Source organism: Homo sapiens, chromosome 11 (assembly GCF_000001405.40).
Source record: "Homo sapiens chromosome 11, GRCh38.p14 Primary Assembly".
Classification (NCBI taxonomy): Eukaryota; Metazoa; Chordata; class Mammalia; order Primates; family Hominidae; genus Homo; species Homo sapiens.
Window position 1 is genome coordinate 28,472,551 of NC_000011.10, and position 16,831 is coordinate 28,489,381.

The 16,831-nt window shown below is 38.7% G+C and overlaps 1 protein-coding gene and 1 non-coding gene across 3 annotated transcripts in view; one reads left to right on the forward strand and one right to left on the reverse strand.

The window, feature by feature from the left end:
- METTL15 (methyltransferase 15, mitochondrial 12S rRNA N4-cytidine) overlaps positions 1 to 16,831 on the forward strand; it is a 424,088-nt gene that overhangs the window by 364,163 nt on the left and 43,094 nt on the right. The window lies entirely within an intron of this gene.
- MIR8068 (microRNA 8068) lies at positions 4,931 to 4,998 on the reverse strand. The gene has a single exon (NR_107035.1). It is a non-coding gene; the product is annotated as a microRNA 8068 (primary transcript).

The window sequence follows — 16,831 nt, forward strand, 5'->3', positions numbered from 1 at the left end:
ACAGGGCTAAGAACAAGAATAAAAGAATATGTGGATTGGACTTTATATCAATCTGTATCAGGCCTGTAATGATAATAATAAAAATTACACAGAGAAAGACCTCTGGAAGACTAGCTGGGGAAATAAACTCAAGGAGAGATTGGATGTCACTTTCAAGGTTAAAAAGCCAAGAGGGTATTGCAGATATTAAATAGGAGGGAAAACAAAAATCACAGCAACTGCCAATAAAATGAAATAAGTTTTCATGTGGATGAAAGAAAACAATAAACAAGAAATTCTTTGTGATGCTATTCCTGACATGAACCTTAGAGAATTCTAGAGACTGAGCACTCAGTAGAAAATGTAATTCCTTGCTTGAATGTCTGCTTTTCCCTTTAGAATTTGAGTTCCAAGAGGACTAGGTCTAGGTCTGTTTCTCTGGAAGATCAGAGTCTGGTACTTCATAGGTTCTTACTAAATGTAGAGGAATAAATGGATAAAGGAGGCAGGCCAGCTAACAAGTTTCCTCTGAGACTAAATTAGGAAAGAGCATGTAGTTCTAGTGGAGGAGAGTGGTGTGATTGACATTCAACAGCTGAGATGGTTTTCAATACTCATGGCTGTGTGTAACATAGACAGTATTGTTTAAAGTATGGATTACCTAGGAATTTTATTCCATTTAATATTTTAATAGGCTTTTCTGGAGAGAATATTTGTCCTGAATTTCAGTATTCCCAGGAGTGCCTGGAAAATGGTGGTATGCCACCAACAAGTGTGGTAAAATTAATCACCTGGGAGAATACAGTTAAAATTGCAAGGTCATAGGTCCTGCATGTAAAACAAATCCTGGCTAATTACGTTTTCATGTTTCTAGGATGAGCAAGTCTAATGACGTTGTTTTTGTCCCCCAGTTAAGGCATACTTATTACATGTCTAACCTGTCTCAGCTGCAGAGATCAATAGTTGGCAGATGTGTGGCCATGCTTGGCTCCTGCATTCATGCTGGATGTGGATACATTCATGTTACAAGAAGTCATGACTCTTTTCTCTTGAGAGCTCAGAAAAGTTCACAGAATCTCCCTCACTGTGCAATTTTTGGAGCAGCAACTATGGGCCAATCAGAATTGGGACTCAGGATGTCCCAGGCATAGAATCCAAACTCCGCAGGAGATAAAGAATGGCATTCAAGCTTCTCCACAATTTTGCATTTGCTTCACCAACCTTATCTTTCTCCTTGGCCTGACCCTCACACTCATCTAATGCTAAAGACCACCTGCAGACTCTAACCTTGCAGGGTGTTTGCCTTTCATCTCTATCTGCTTGGTGAGAACCTATGTTTTCTTCAGGGCCCAACCTCTTTGCACCACTTCATCTGAAGTTTTTATGCCACACCCTTTCCTTTTCCCCATTCCCATACCCCAGGGCAGAATTGATATTTCCTCTTCATGCTTCTATTCTACCTCTGTGAAAGACTCTAGAGTATGTCAGTTGTTTCCCTATCTATTCTCCCAGTAGCAGTGAGCACCAAGGCAGCTACTGCCTCATCTTGTACATGGAGAGATGCACACAAATACACATGTATATACATACTTATAGATGTATAAGTATATACAAGTATAAATGTAAATATTTATAAATCTATCCTTAATAACAGAAAATATTTATTACAAATATTTAATACATATTAAATATGTCTATATAACAGAAAATATTTATTATAAATATTTATATCCATTTTTCTCATGCTGGCCTCCCCCCTTGTGATAAATATACACTAATTTAAGGTGTCTATGTTTAATTCTCCTTTCTTTAATCCAAGAAATAATGATAATGCCTCTCTGTAAAATAGGTCACTAACACTATTGTTGAAAAATATGAGCAAGCCCCCTCAAAATGCTATAGAAGTAAATATATATTCATAAATTTGGATATATATGTGTTCATGAGAAAGTAAGCTCCTAAAAATAGCTGAAGGTGACCCAAGCAGCAAAATCCAGCTTTTTTGGGAGAATATTCACAGACAGCCTGACAGTCTTAAAGTGGATGGCAGGTTACTAAGAAATGAAACTGAAAAGACTCCTGGTCTAATCTGTAGGTATTCAAGGATGATGTAGCCTAATAAGGCCCCACACCAAAGAAGAGCGGATGGTGCAAAAGTTTAGACAAACATCACATTTTTGTGACAAATGTCCATATTTGGTTTGAAAATGCTGTTAACAGAAATATTCCCTGTATGTGGGATTTGACCAGATAATGAAGGGTGGACTCTACATAACCCAAGTGAGGGTGAATGGTGTGTTGTTTCAATACTATTTTAAACTCCCATGCAGTTACTAATGGTGGTACTTGGTCATTGAACCTCCCAGGTCTCAGGATAAGTGCCCTATGTTTAACACATGGAGGCCATAAAGACAACCTGACTTGCTGGTGATACAGGTGACCAAGAAGCAGAGGTCCTCAATCCTCTCTCTCTCTTATTTAATCAGATCGTTTTGATAGCCAAAGGTGGTTATTTGAACTGGATCTGGATAAGCAAGACGCCTACAGGTCAGTTAAGCAGTTGTACTCACCTGGGCAAGAGTTGATTTGAACAAAGGCTCTGGAAGGTGTAAAGGGAAGGTAAACCCACTAGAAAGAAGCTATGGAAGGCTAGAGGCCCTATTAGGGACTGAGTTTCTCACAGTGAGTGGAAACCATGAAGCTAAGCTCACAGCCAAGCTTCATGTTGGTAATTCATGTTGATACTCTAAATGATCAAATGAAAATTGCATGATCCTCTTCACCAGCTTGGTGGTGTGAAGTCACTTCTTTTTCTTTTTTAATATTCAGGTAGCATAGAATTATTCTGAGATTTTCCCTCCATCTATTGTCCAAGATTTCTACTTACTTAGTCCAAAGAGTCCAGCCCCATTTCTAAACTTCAGGAAAATAGAAAACTAGAAAATGATTTGTCTGGTCATGGTCTCGTGGTGTGGCTGTTGAGAAATGGTTTTCATGGTTTGACACATCCTGGTACCCTACTTCAGTGTTGCCATTGGTGGTCCAGATCTTCTACAGGGTGTATTCACTCTTCAAGAGTAAATTTCTTCACTGCCTCTAGTGTTATGTTCTGTTCAGAGTGTTATCTTTTAGGCTCCCAAGGTTGCAGTTCTCTAGTTGAGATTTTCTTCTACTTACAGCATTCCCCTGAGCTAGGGAATCTGAGCGGTCCAAAGGGAATTCAACCTTAATCGTATGTTTTTCCAAAGCCAACCTTCCAGATCACACTCAGTTACCCTCTTTTTACATTTAATAAAACTTAGTTCCACAGAACTGAAGAATTTGCCTGTCCACTAAGTGGCTGAGCAATGGCAAATTTGGGGGCCTGCCTCTCAATCAGACCAGTGACTGTCCTCTCCTCCTGCTACCACCTAGGCTGCCTGCAGTCCTCTGTGGCATGCACACTTTTTGGGAAACAGTGATCTTCAGCTGAGCTTAATGCACAGCACCCTGTCATGATACCTTCATCTGACTTCTGTTTGCTTCCGCAGAACCAGGCTTGCTAGGGGTAGTAGACAAAGAACAGAAAATGAATAATTTATATTTGACTCTCTCACAGAGGCTCCCCACTGGGTTGCTTTCTAGGAAAAATATTCCTGGCTTGCAGTCTCAGCGTGAGAGTATGTGCCAAGCCCAGCCCATTGTCCCCCTCTTCACACTGTCTGAGATATTAACCAGACAGAAATATCAGGCTGCTGGGTTTGATTATTGCCTCTTTATTTTGGTCCCTGGGAAGAGGGAATGCTTTCTATCATTTATGGATAAAACCTCATTTTTCTGAGTGTTGAGTTGTTGTCGAAATGACCCAGATGGTAGATAAGGCAATAGTGGTGACTCTAACAAGACCACCAGAATTCTTATTTGGTATTATTGATGAGTTTCCTTTCTGAGCTTGGCTGTGAGGTATTTGTATTCATCTTCCTTGCAAGCCAATTTCCATTGGTCTGAATTACGTACTGAGAGTTGAGACAGACCTTAGAGGCTTATTTATTCCATTTTATTCCTTCCTACTGTTCTAAACAGGTTAATCAATATGTCCTCGTTCTTTCCTAAGAGAAACTATATTTCCTTTCAGACCATGTAGAAGGGCAAGCCCTGGAATGCTATGTTGTTACCACAGGACCCAGGATCCTACCCTGGTCACATGTTGGTATCAGATGTGAGGATCTGACTTCAGGCACACCTTAAGCTAACCAGTGATCTATGGTGTAGCTTAGTGCTAAAAAAGTTCAACCAATGACTCTTAGGGGATAATCAGTTACCTTTCTGTACTGCACTTCTTAGTGCTGTAGAACAAATCATATTGTGAGCAGTGAGATAATAGAGAAGGACCATAATAGACATGAGTGAGCAAAGTTGTGAGTAATTTAAAACTATGAAGCAGCAGAAATTACCGATAAATTGAGAATGGGGTTGAAAAAGAAGTCAAGTAGTAATAGGAGAAGCAAGAGACAGAAAGAGAAACAGGAAGAGAGGGTAGCATAGTGCTTAGCCACGTTAATGGGAGTCTGCCTGTGACTAAAATCCCCAGACTTGTGCTGTTGAGGTCTAGAGCTTCAAGAAATACAGAATAACTTTTTGTTCCAGTTTCTTTATGTATGGTCATATTGCAATTTATTTTCTTTTCTTTTTTTGAGATGGCGTCTCACCCAGGCTAGAGAGCAGTGGCACGATCTTGGCTCACTGCAATCTCCGCCTCCTGTGTTCATGCAATTCTCCTGCCTCAGCCTCCCAAGTAGCTGGGACTACAGGTGTGCACCACCATGCCTGGCTAATTTTTGTGGGTTTTTTTTCAGCAGAGATGGGGTTTTGCCATGTTGGCTAGGCTAGTTTCGAACCCCTGACTTCAGGTTATCCACCTCCTTGGCCTCCCAAAGTGCTGGGCATATTGCAATTTTTATTCTTGAATATCTGGCAAAGTATTTGTTGTAAGGATAACTGTATTGCCACAACGATCCTTACAACAAACATGAGTTAGCCTGAATGGAACTCTGTCTCACAACTAACATAAAATAGCCTTCTTCATTTCCTACCTCATCCAATATAAGGATTTCCCTTATAGCATCCCTGGAAAAAAATCTATACACTGTCTATTTAAAGACCCAAAGATTGGGTGTTTTATATTATAAGAATGCTCATTTCATTTTAAATAATTTTATGGAGTCAATCTTGAGGCCGTTATCAACTTATCCAGCCCTTCCATTGTTTTTAATATTCATCTTGAGCCATTCATTATCCTTGAATTCTTCTTCAATATTTATTTGTTTTTTAACCTAAAATTTTTCTGTATGGTATTTTTTGAGCATTAAGCTCAAGTTACTGCTAGCTTTTAATTTTCCTTTCCATTTTAGAATGCATCCTCTGATAATTGATTCTATATAGATATGGTTCTTACATGTTGGTGGTCTCTGTTGGCCACATACTACCACCAGATCCTAAGTTCTCTTTTCAAAATTGTTTTATCCTTTATCTATCTATTAGCATGGCCAAACTCTCTTATACCCCAGCTATAAAACTTTATTTTATATTTTATTTTGTTATTTTAGACCTATGTCCATGATCTTAAAACTTTAGTCAGATAAAGAAAGGACCATCTGGAAGAATCTGGAACCTCTAGTTATTAAATAAACTGTAAATCCTAAGGAGATACCATATGAAGGAGTAAATTTCCTCTTATCTTGGTAAAAATGTTGACCATGCTGTTTTTATGAATTCAAGCTCTGTTTATATCCTAAAGCTATGAATCTAAAGACCACTCACAGAGATGGTGATTATGAGTCTATGCCTACCATGATTTCGTGCCTTTAAATTAGACAATTTTCACCCCATCACTCAGATAGTAGACAACAGAAGACAAATATTAGGCGAGTCTGTGGCCTCAATCGTGGTGATTATCTGACCTCTCTTGCATGGTTTCTGTCTGTATTGTTTGTATCTACTAAATTTCAGTGTTACCTTCCTCCAGAGCCTCTTGTCTTTATCTCCAACTTTTTTATGTCTCAAATGTGCCAGCAGATTTGGTATCCCCGCTTTTGATGCTTGGGATGCCTGGGAACATCTCTTGCATTCTTTGGCTTGCTTTGCTCCTGGATGCTCAGGGTAACCACCTGGTATTCATTCACCTCCCCTTTCTCCAGAAACAAAAAACATGAAGCAGTAAGCAACAGTGGCAACTTAAAGAAAGATCAATATGCTATTATTGCTATTTTACAAATGATCTTCTAGTTTTTGGGAGGTTCCAAGGGGCCATAAGTGACTTGGAATGGAAAGGAGTTTTGGTGTTGATGTTTTTTTGACTTGTAAAAAGCTTAAATTCCATTATCTCCTAGGAAGCAGAAAACAACATGGCACCTGCCAAGGGAGGCCCCATGGTTAAGGTGCAGATTGATGTGAAAACAATAGAGAGATGTATTTGGCAGGCGTTCTTACTACTACTATAAGAATGTAAACTTGTACTTTGAAAACTCTAGTTTTTTGCTTATTTCTCTTTGTGTGTGTGTGTGTGTGTGTGTGTGTGTGTGTGTGTGTTTGCTTTTGTAATGTTATAAAATTCCAGCCATGATCAGTTGAACTAAGAATAAAGGAAAGGGTTGTTGCTATTTTGTTTTATTTGTTGATTCTTTAAATAAATATTTATTGAGTGCCTACTGTATGTCATGACTATGTCAGATGCTAGTGTTAACAGAATGAATAAGAAAGATAGAAGCCCTGCCCTTGTGAAAATTTCAGTCCACAAATGTTTTGTAGGACAAGTTGAGGAAGAAGGACAGATACCCAAAAGAGTGATGTAAAAGTGACTGAATCCAAAGAGAGAAGTGACAGCTTAGGGACTAAAAACTAAGAGATCTTTGTATGGTTCCCATTGGCTTTTTTTTCTGTAAGAGTTGTCTCTCTGAAGAACCCTAGTATTTGGGCCCTGAGAAGATTTTATTCCAAGTCATACTCTTATATTCTTGAACTTTGCCTGCTTTGCATACAAAAGGTTTTGTAGTAATCCTGATATAGATTCCATCCAGCTTGCCTGTAGTCTCTTTTCCTATTTTGAGGTCCATCTTCATCAGCCTCAAATAGTGATAAATGATATGGCCTTTGAGTATTCTCTTTCTTATTTGTAACTAGTCTTACTTGGCAAGTTCCTCTTTCTGAAGAACATAACCAGCGATGTGGCAATAATAATCATCAGCTGTATCAAAAAAAGTGTGTGTATATTTGGATATAAATATGTACATGTTTATAAGTTTATTAAACATTTTACTAACATAAAGTATGTGCACTACACAGAATATGCAATACTCTTTATTGTAAATGACATTTAGTGGACTAAATCTAACAAAGTGCTTTTGTTGATTTTTGCTGAACCCTTTTATCTTCACCTTATCTATTGTTATTGATGAATGAGTGTAGTTCCAACATGAATATTGCTTGGCATTTTCATCTACATTAACTATTAAGATGAAAGTGAAAAAATGAAAACATGCTAGAATTTTACTCATTTGTCAGTGTTGTATGTAGCTTATTTCCTGAATTAGATAAAAATTTCAGAATACTGGAAGATTATTTCCTATACAGTTACAGACGTGACATGTTTTTAAAGTATAATCTGCATTATTAACATTTTCTTCATCATATTCTTAAGTATATATACTCAACAAAGCAATACAGCAAACACTGATTTGTAGCATTTGCCATTTTCTATGTTGTAAATACTCCCACTGTGACTGATTTTAAGCTACCAACACAACGTTACTGAATGCAAAATTGGAAAGGGATGTGCCTTAGTGTACCATTATATAGTATTTCCATCTTACAGATACAATAGATGTAAATAATCTTAAGAGCATGTATTTATTGAAGAGTATTTATTGATGTTGTTTTTAATGTTTCTTGTTAAACTATAAATCTATATAATAAAATTTTTATTAATGGCTGTGTTTAACAATCTGCTCACCAATACCTGGAAATGTAATGACAGCTCTCGTAAGCAGTACAAGCTGGCTCTAGCTGACTACTTCAAGTTGCCCTTTGGTTTTAGCGGTGACCCTGGCTTTTAATCCTGGTGAGCAGAATGAATTAGAGAACTACTGTCAGGGGTAAGGCCTTGCAATCGTATATTATTGTTTCACATCTTCATTCCTCTATTGAGATATTAAGGTTTTAGAATTCCAATTTGTAAGCTATTCGTAATTCTCATTTGAAGGCTGTGTAGAGAGATTTTGGATGTGATTTCTTGGTAGTAAGCTTTTCACCTTGCAACAGTTTCAGACAGAAGGAAAAGACACTGGATTCAATTTGCACACTCCTACTCCCCTGCTGCATAGATCTTGGCTCCTGAGGAGATCTTTGAAGCCTTGTCCCTTTAATGGGACAAAAAAGGAGTCATAGCATATGGGGAGAGCAAGGTTTACCTGATCAAGAAGGTAATGTTTAGGCAGGAAGAAGAGAGAGAAAGAATAACGTATTATTTTCTAATATTAGAAATGTTATGTTTTCATAATTTCAATCTACTTGAAAATGCATGATTAAGGAATGCACTAAGAATCAGGTAGTTCTGGGGAGGAAGTATCACATTATTGATACAATTGTAACCCTGATGTCACTAAAGTTACCTCCCACTCTGAACTTCAGAAAAATTTATTTAGTCTCCCTAACTCATATCCATGTGGAAAATTGCTCCAGAAGGAATGCAGTCTTGCTGACACTTTGATGTTAACCCAGTGAAACCCATTTTGGACTTCTGACCTCCAGAACTACAGGACGATAAAAGTGTTTTAAGCCGCTGAATACAGCCCATAGGAAACAAATACACCTTCTTGTCCTTCTGCAGGGACTTTATGTGTAGGCTTCCCATGAACACAAAAGGCGGTAGGAGACTGTCAATGGGGCCATTTCCCAATTGTTCCAATTGTTGGGGGCACACTGAACGTCCCTGCAAAGGGATTCAGTCTCCATCTCTGGGTTTGGTGACTTCAGCTGACTTTTCCCCTCTGATTTCCCACCCATCCAATGGGAGGGGTAGCTTTTCTTGGCAGCTAGGCATAATATCCCCTCAAGTCACTGAAGCGGCCAGCAGGATCACATCCCATCCTGGCCCAGAGGTACCCGAGCAAAAGCCTGACAGTGGAGGGAGTTTCTTCAAAGCCGCAGCTCAGGCTGCTCAGCGCTGCCTGTGTGACAGTTCCAGTAGAGGGGTGTGTCACACAGCCATTATCCAGTCACATCTTAAGTGCAGCCCGCTGGGCTCAAATACCACTTTGGGAAGCAATAAATAATTTTCTGTTATTGGCGAGGGTCGCTGCAAGTTTCCTCCTGATTTTTGACACTTGTTTCCACAGCCCATTGCTGTTACAAAATGAAAACCCAGCATTAAATGTTTAATTCTGAAATACATTTTCTCAAGAGGTGTTCATTTGAGCTCCCTGGATTTTGAGCTTTTTTTTTCCACCCTTGTCTGCAAACTCTCTCAGCCCTAGGCACCCCTGCTGCAAGCCACTGAAGGATGAAGAATAAAATGATTGCTTTCAAGAATGGGTAATCACTGGTCTCAAGCACTCTGTCAAATAGCATCATCAGCAGAAGGCAAGTGGGGAAGCTGTCTTCACTTCTCTAATGGCTGGAGGCTGTAGCTACTACTTGTAATCAGGAGCCCTAGCCTTTTCCTGCATACTGGATAGGAGTTACCACTTAAGCAATTTATAGCCAACTCATTATGCCTATTTGGAGATTGAAAAGCATACTTTGGTAACATTCATATCATGTTTGGAATTGCAGTTCTTTTACTTCCTAGCTGTAGATCTTAGGCAAGATACCTCTTAGGAGCCTCTGAGTCCTTGTCTATTATATAGGGGTTATATCTTCCTTGTAGGGTTCTTCTGAAAATCACAGATGGTGTGTGATGCAAAGTGCTTAGCACAGTACTTGGCACAGAACTGAGTAGTTGCTCAGGAAATCCTAATTCTCGTTATTAGTAAATATTAAAACAAGTTCTATATTTACAGTTTCCTCTTCCATTGTGTATTAGCTTATTAGCTCCACTTATCAGATGAGGAAGGTAAAGCTCAGATGTTTTAGTGACTTGGTTAGTAGATAATGTGCCACTGACCAGAGCCAGTTTGTCTGGCTCAGGGCTACATGCAAAGTGTGGCTCAGCATCACCTGGGAGCTTGCTAGAAATGCAAATTTCTTGGGCCTACCTACGGAGTCAGCATCTCTCAGGATGAAACCCAGGAATCTGCTGTAGGAAGTTCTCCAGGTAATTTGTGGGCACACCAAACTTCAAGTAGCACTGTTTGAACTATGATTCAGAGAGCTCTCATCAATGTGCCATACTGCCATCTCAGCCCCAACTTCAAACTAAGACATCCTCCTGGACAATAGGATAAGGCTGACCACTGTGGGACACAATCCGGATCAGCCTCTCTCCTCTTCTTCCCTTTTTCCTGCCCCCACATAACCATACTTCAGTGAACATGAAAAAAAAAAATGCTGCTAACCAGTCCCAAACCAGGAACTGTATTTTTTACTAGAAAAAAGCACTAATAGGAATTTCTTTGCTTGATTTAACACCAAAAAAGAGACATGCTGCAGCAATGCATTGGGCATAATGGGAGATACCTCCCATTATGTGAGCACTTTGAGCTCACTACATGTTGCCTGGCATTCGACAAGACGACAGAAGACAGCCAGCGTATCTGGTGGGTGGCAATGGCGGGAAAAACTGTTGACTCATGGGCCTGATGTCGGATATTTAGACGACTAATTGATGTTCATAGCTCCATCTGCTTATTTCATCAAACCTCAGAGACTTCCTTTGGCCTCGACATTAAGACCAATAACTTTGGAGGCTTAAAATACTGATCAAGAGCCTGAGCTGTAAGCCAGGCAGACTTGGATTTCAATCTTTTTTTTTCTCTGCAGCTAGCTACATGATCCTGGACCCAGGGTTTATTTTTGAGTCTCAATGTCTTCATCTCTTTAAAGGAGGGATCTGCAAACTTTCTCTGTGAAGTTCCAGATTGTAAATATTTTTGTCTTTGTGGGCCATATAGCCTGTGTCTCAACTAATCAACTCTGCCACTGTAGCATGAGCATAGCCATGGGCAATATGTCAATAAATGGTATGACTGTGTGCTAATAAAATGTTACTTATAAAAACAGGTAGTGGGCTGGATTTGCACTGCAACTGGTAGTTTTCTAAGGTAGTTTTCACAGTTCTAAGGTACTGAAACCCTGCTCTAAGAGGAGGTGCTAATAGTGTTTGTTTTCAGATTTATTATGAAGATTAATGTGATAACATAATGTGTACACCTAGTACCTAGTGTAAAGTAGTTATTAAACAATTGGTATCATTATTTTTATAAGCTATATCCAAATGGCATATTGATATATATTTAAAAATAGAGAGTGAGATGGTAGGACTGAGAACTTGAGTAAAAACAAGATTCTACATCTTGTTTTTAATGACCTATTCCTCCATATTAGGAGCTAGAAGATATATATGCATATAGAACAAAGCAAAAATCGTATAATAACGGTGATGGTGATGATAATAATGACAACAGTAGCACATATTAAGTACTTGCTCTAAATCTGGAATTATTCTAGGTTCTTTACTTTTATTCCTTATTCAATTCTCACAAACAGTCCTGTTAAGGTCTGTACTATTTTTAGCTTACTTTTATTACAAAGAAATCAAGGCACAGAAGTTGAGTAATTTGCCCAAGATAACATAGCTCTAAATTGCAGGACTGGAATATGGACGTAGGCAGTCTGGTTTCAGAGCCAACTCTCCTAACCACTGGGCGACAGTGCCTCCCTAAATGCGACACTGCCCTGATGTCACCCGATGAGTCCTGTGGAGAAGAAATGCTCCAGTGGATGCCCAGCCTACATGTCTTTCAACCCCGGACTGCCTATGGTATGCTGTTGTTTGGGATTTCCATGTCCTTTGTTGCCTTGCCCCTCCTTTTCTCCATTGCAGTCTCTATATAGGCCATCTAGTCTGATGTTCCTCTGGGGGATCTGCTTTTGGCTCTGCATCATAGCTGTATCTCCCCAACATCCTAGATCTATCTCCCTTGGTTTCAAAACATCCTAGGTGCTCTGGTAATGATCTTGACAACCTTTATGCTGGCTCCTACCAACTCATTCACTTCTTTTTCACCTGCTCTTCTTATTGGGAATGCGATCGTTTTGAGTAGAGCTGTGGGAGACACAGAAGGTGAGACTTGACTCCAGGACATCAACTACGATTTCCTGAAGGTAATTGGCAAAGGGTTTCTAAACAGTCTGGCCGTCCCACACCAGGGTTTAATGGCCTACCTTCTGTTGCTGTTGGTCACATGCCTCAGCTTAGAACTGTGCCTGCTCATGAATCAGGTATATCTGATGGCTTCTCTATCTCTTCCAGACAAATAAAGGGCTAAACTGAGGCCTGGAGAGGAATTATTCTTGAATTATTTTCAGATTCTCCCTCGCTATGATGCTAAGTTCCTGGTAATGAAGTTTTTCCTGATCTGTGACATCCCACAATCCAAAATGAAGTTTTACACACACACACACACACACACACACACTCACACCCCACAGAGCCATAGCTGGCATGGGCATTCTTGTTTCAGCTGTTTATTTGAAGGAAAGTAAGACTAACTGTGTCTAACTTATTGAATGCAAGAAAAGAAAAGAAAAGAAAAGAAAAATAGCTTAATTATAATGTCAGGATGCTGGATATAATAATGACAATAACTATATTTACAAGGTTCACTATGTGCCAGGCACTGTTCTAAGTCACAGTTCTAAGTTACTGAAAGTCTTTTCTTACTAATGACAAATTCATTAGTCAAGATCAAGTGCGACTCAGCATTAAGAACATAAAAACCAAATCGCTAAGAAGAGGAAACATTCAGAAATTCACACTAGTTACCAGGATGAGTATGGAAACATTAAAGTGAGGGGCAGAGAGAGAAGAGGCAGGGACATAATGAATCATATTGTTGGAAACTCAGATACATGCTGGGCAAGTATTGGGGTGGAGCAGGTTATGGGGAGGAGAGAGTAGAGAGTAGAAAAGATAAAACGTTATTGAGAACTTAATATGTGATATGCATTTCCTATATGAAATTTCATTTAATTCACCCCTTACAACAGTGTCTTAACCATCTCAGGTTGCCATAACAAAATACGTACTGGGTGGCTTACACAACAGGTGCTTATTTCTCATAATTCTGGAGGACAGTCCGAGATCACAGTGCAGGCTGATTCAGTTCCCAGAGAGGGCTCTTTCTGGCTTGCACATGGCTGCTTTCTTGCTTATGTCCTCAGATGGCCTTTCTTCTATGCGTGTGCATGTAGAGAGAAACCTGTCTTCCTCTTCTTTTTATAAGGCCACTAAACCTACCAATTAGGACCCGACTCTTAAGAATTCATTTAATCTTAAATGTCCTCTAAAAGTCCTGCCTCCAAATATAGACACATTAGGGTTAGGGCTTCAACACATGAATTCTGGGGAGACACAATTTAGTCCATAGTTAGCGCTATGAGAAGGGGAGTATCAATTTTAGTTGATAGATGAGAAAGTTAACACTTAGAGGTGGTAATAAACTTGTCCATGGCTGCAAATCTAGGATATGGATGGGAAAGCCAGGTTCAAACCCAGAAACTGTGATTCCTGGGCTTTCCTGCATCTTAGGCCACTTCACTCATGGGGGATGGTACAGGAAAGTCTGTGGGAGCCTTCGGTAGTCCTGGGGACCAAGGGAGACCTCTTGGATCAGGCTCTCATGTTAATCTTTCCCAGGTGGACACAGGAAAAAAGAATGTGTTTTTTCCTTTTTTTTTTTCTCTGCCTCTCTTAGATGATTGGGTAAAGCAGATGTTCTGTCCATTTCTAGAGAAATTGGCAGGCCCTGGAGATACTGAGTGGACTTCTATGATTTTCTACTGTCTGTGCCAATGAGACTGAGCCTTTCAATGTTTCTGTTTAGCCTGATGCTGCCAGGATTGTTAATAAAGCCTGCGCCTCTCTAGTGGCAGTGGTGGCCATCTGCCCTTTAGGCCATCTATGTGGTTGCCCAGAAGTAACCTCTCATTGTCTGTAGCAATAAATCCAAGCTGGAAGCCTGTCTGACAGAAAGGACTTTTACCTCCTCAACTGTCTTCTTCCTAATGTATCTTCAGAGTGTCATTTTGCCATGCCAGGATATTGTAGCTGATAACTTAACTTCTTTATCCATTCAGCCTGGAAGAATGCATGTGGACACTGTTCACCTTGTCAGGAAGAATCAGTTCTTCCATTAGAAAAGGAAGAAAAGAAAGCACCAGGTGAGGTCAGCCATGGCCACATTTTTTCAGTGCTAGGTGTGGACAGGCAGGCATGAAAACTAAGAATAGATCTCCTGCAAACCGACCTTTAAAAAGGTACACATAAAATGCAAATTAAGAAAAAAAAATACAGTGCCATTTTCTCTTTATTAGATTGGCAAAGGTTTTTTTTAAGATGTTCAAATATTCAGCTTTGGTGAGATTGCAGTGAAATCTCATTACATTTATTTGCACAGCCTTTCTGGGGGGCAATTTGGCATCATGTTTCAAAAATCTTTAAAAGGCACATACCTTCTGAAACAAGCACATCCACTTTTAGAAATGTATTCTAAGAGAATCATGCATCTTCAAAAGTATTTTGCTATGAGGACGTTCATCTCAGCCTTTATAATTGTGAAAATTGAAATAACTAAAAGCTAATAATAGCATAGTTAAGTAATTTATGGTTCATTAATACCATGAAATAATATCTAGACATAAAGAATCTGACATATTAAGTAATTGTTGACCTAGAAAGATACTTATGATATATTTTAAATTAAAAAACAGGTTACAAGTTAGCATATACACTGTGATTTATTCTACATACTATATGTATTAGATATTTAAAGTCCAGAAAGTTATGTACTTAAGTTGTTCAATGGTATAAAGGCATATGATCACAGTTTTCATTGCCTTCCTATATTTCTATTACATTTCTCCTATAATAAAGTCTCATTTTTCTAATAAAAAAGCTTATTTTAAACTTTTTAAAATTTTTTATTTTAAACTATAAAAAGAAACAATTGCTTAGAAGGTATAAAGGACCACAGATGTAGATACAGAATCTAGCCCAATCCACTGCCTTATCACCATCTACCTCTGTCTTAGCTTCTATTTCTTCTCTCAGACACTAGCTCCTTTCCTTGGCCATCTGTGGCACTACAATGTTGAATTGCATGAAGTATTAGAAATGTTTTCATGAATCTATAGTTTGGAAGTAAGAAGGAGCAAACATTTACTAAATGGAGGGAACCACAAAACAGAAAAACTTTTTTTATTTGTATCACAAAAAGCCAAAATTTGTAACTTCTTTGGGTACAATAGAGAATTGTAGCTAGCATCAGAACTCTAGCTAGTGTCTACACTGAGGACAGGACAATAAGAAATTCTATAAATTAGATTTCTACTTTGACTAGTAGTTCCATAATTATTGTTTATTTATACAACAGTTTCCAACTCAGCAATGAAAATATGCTTATTTAACTCATATTTTTGAAATGAATTATATTTCCCTGCTGGAACAAGTCTGAAAATATTTTGCAGTAACAAGACCAATTAAAGCAAAATTACTCTATTTTAAAATTTTGGCTTTGAGAATAGAAGTTTAAAATTAAGCACACTTCATGAGCTAACTTACAGTATTATGATCTCAAACCAAGGAATAACAAATTCCTAAAATCCTGTTGCTGTTTTTTTTCTATTCTTATATTTATTTAAAACCATTTCTGTGTTTCTAAAGAATAACACAACTCAGTTTTATAATAAGAGTGTTGTGCTGTTTCCTGTCACTTCCACTTTCTCATCTGGAATTAATTTAAATGAATATCAGCTTAGTGCTCCATAGGATCTAATCTATTTACCACCCACTAAAGTTAACTGGACTAATTTCATTATGTCATAGTTGACGCTACATTGCTTATCCTAGTGAAGAGTTGAATTCTCAGTTCTGAGATGGTCTCTGGGATATGCAAATTCAAGATGTAGCTCTGCTCTGCCCAGCTTGGCTGGATTTTGTGTTATGACATAACTGTAATTTGTTTGGAATAATTCCTGTCCCTTCTGTTTCTGGTCCTTTAAATCAGTCAGATACACCCAGATACCTCAACTGATTCTAAATAAGTCTGACCCCACGATACTTTTTTTTGTGAACCTTCCTAGACCTGCTGTTCCTACTTCCTCTTTATTCCATCTCTTCCTTCTGAATCCCAACTCTAATCCTCTGGATCTTAGGTCTTAGCATTTATAGTTGGTGGTGAATCAAATACCAAGCAGACCTTCACTAAGAGATGTTAATGTTAATAAGCTTAGAGGTAGCAACTATGTGTTATGGCTACAACCCTCTCTTCTTTTACCTTACCCACAGTAAACATTGCTAATCTTCATGGCACTTTTCCTTCTGAGCCTTAATGAAGTCTCTCGATAGAGCTCTTCAAGCAATCACTACCAATTCAATGGGTGAGATGTGTGTCACAAAATCTACTTGCCATTTCTGGGCTGATGCTCCTAGCTCCTCTTGCTTTGGACAGCTGCTGGTATAACATCCTCTCTAAAGCCTTTAGAGACCAGTCCAGTACAGGCCACATGTTTGGTACCCCAGCCCCTTCCTATGCAGTGGATATCTTTGATTAATTGAACTTGTGATTCTAAAACAAGAGATTCTTTATTCAACAATTCTTTCTTCAAAAGCTTCCTTGGTACTTCAGAGCATGACTTGTTAAATAAAATTGTCAGCTGT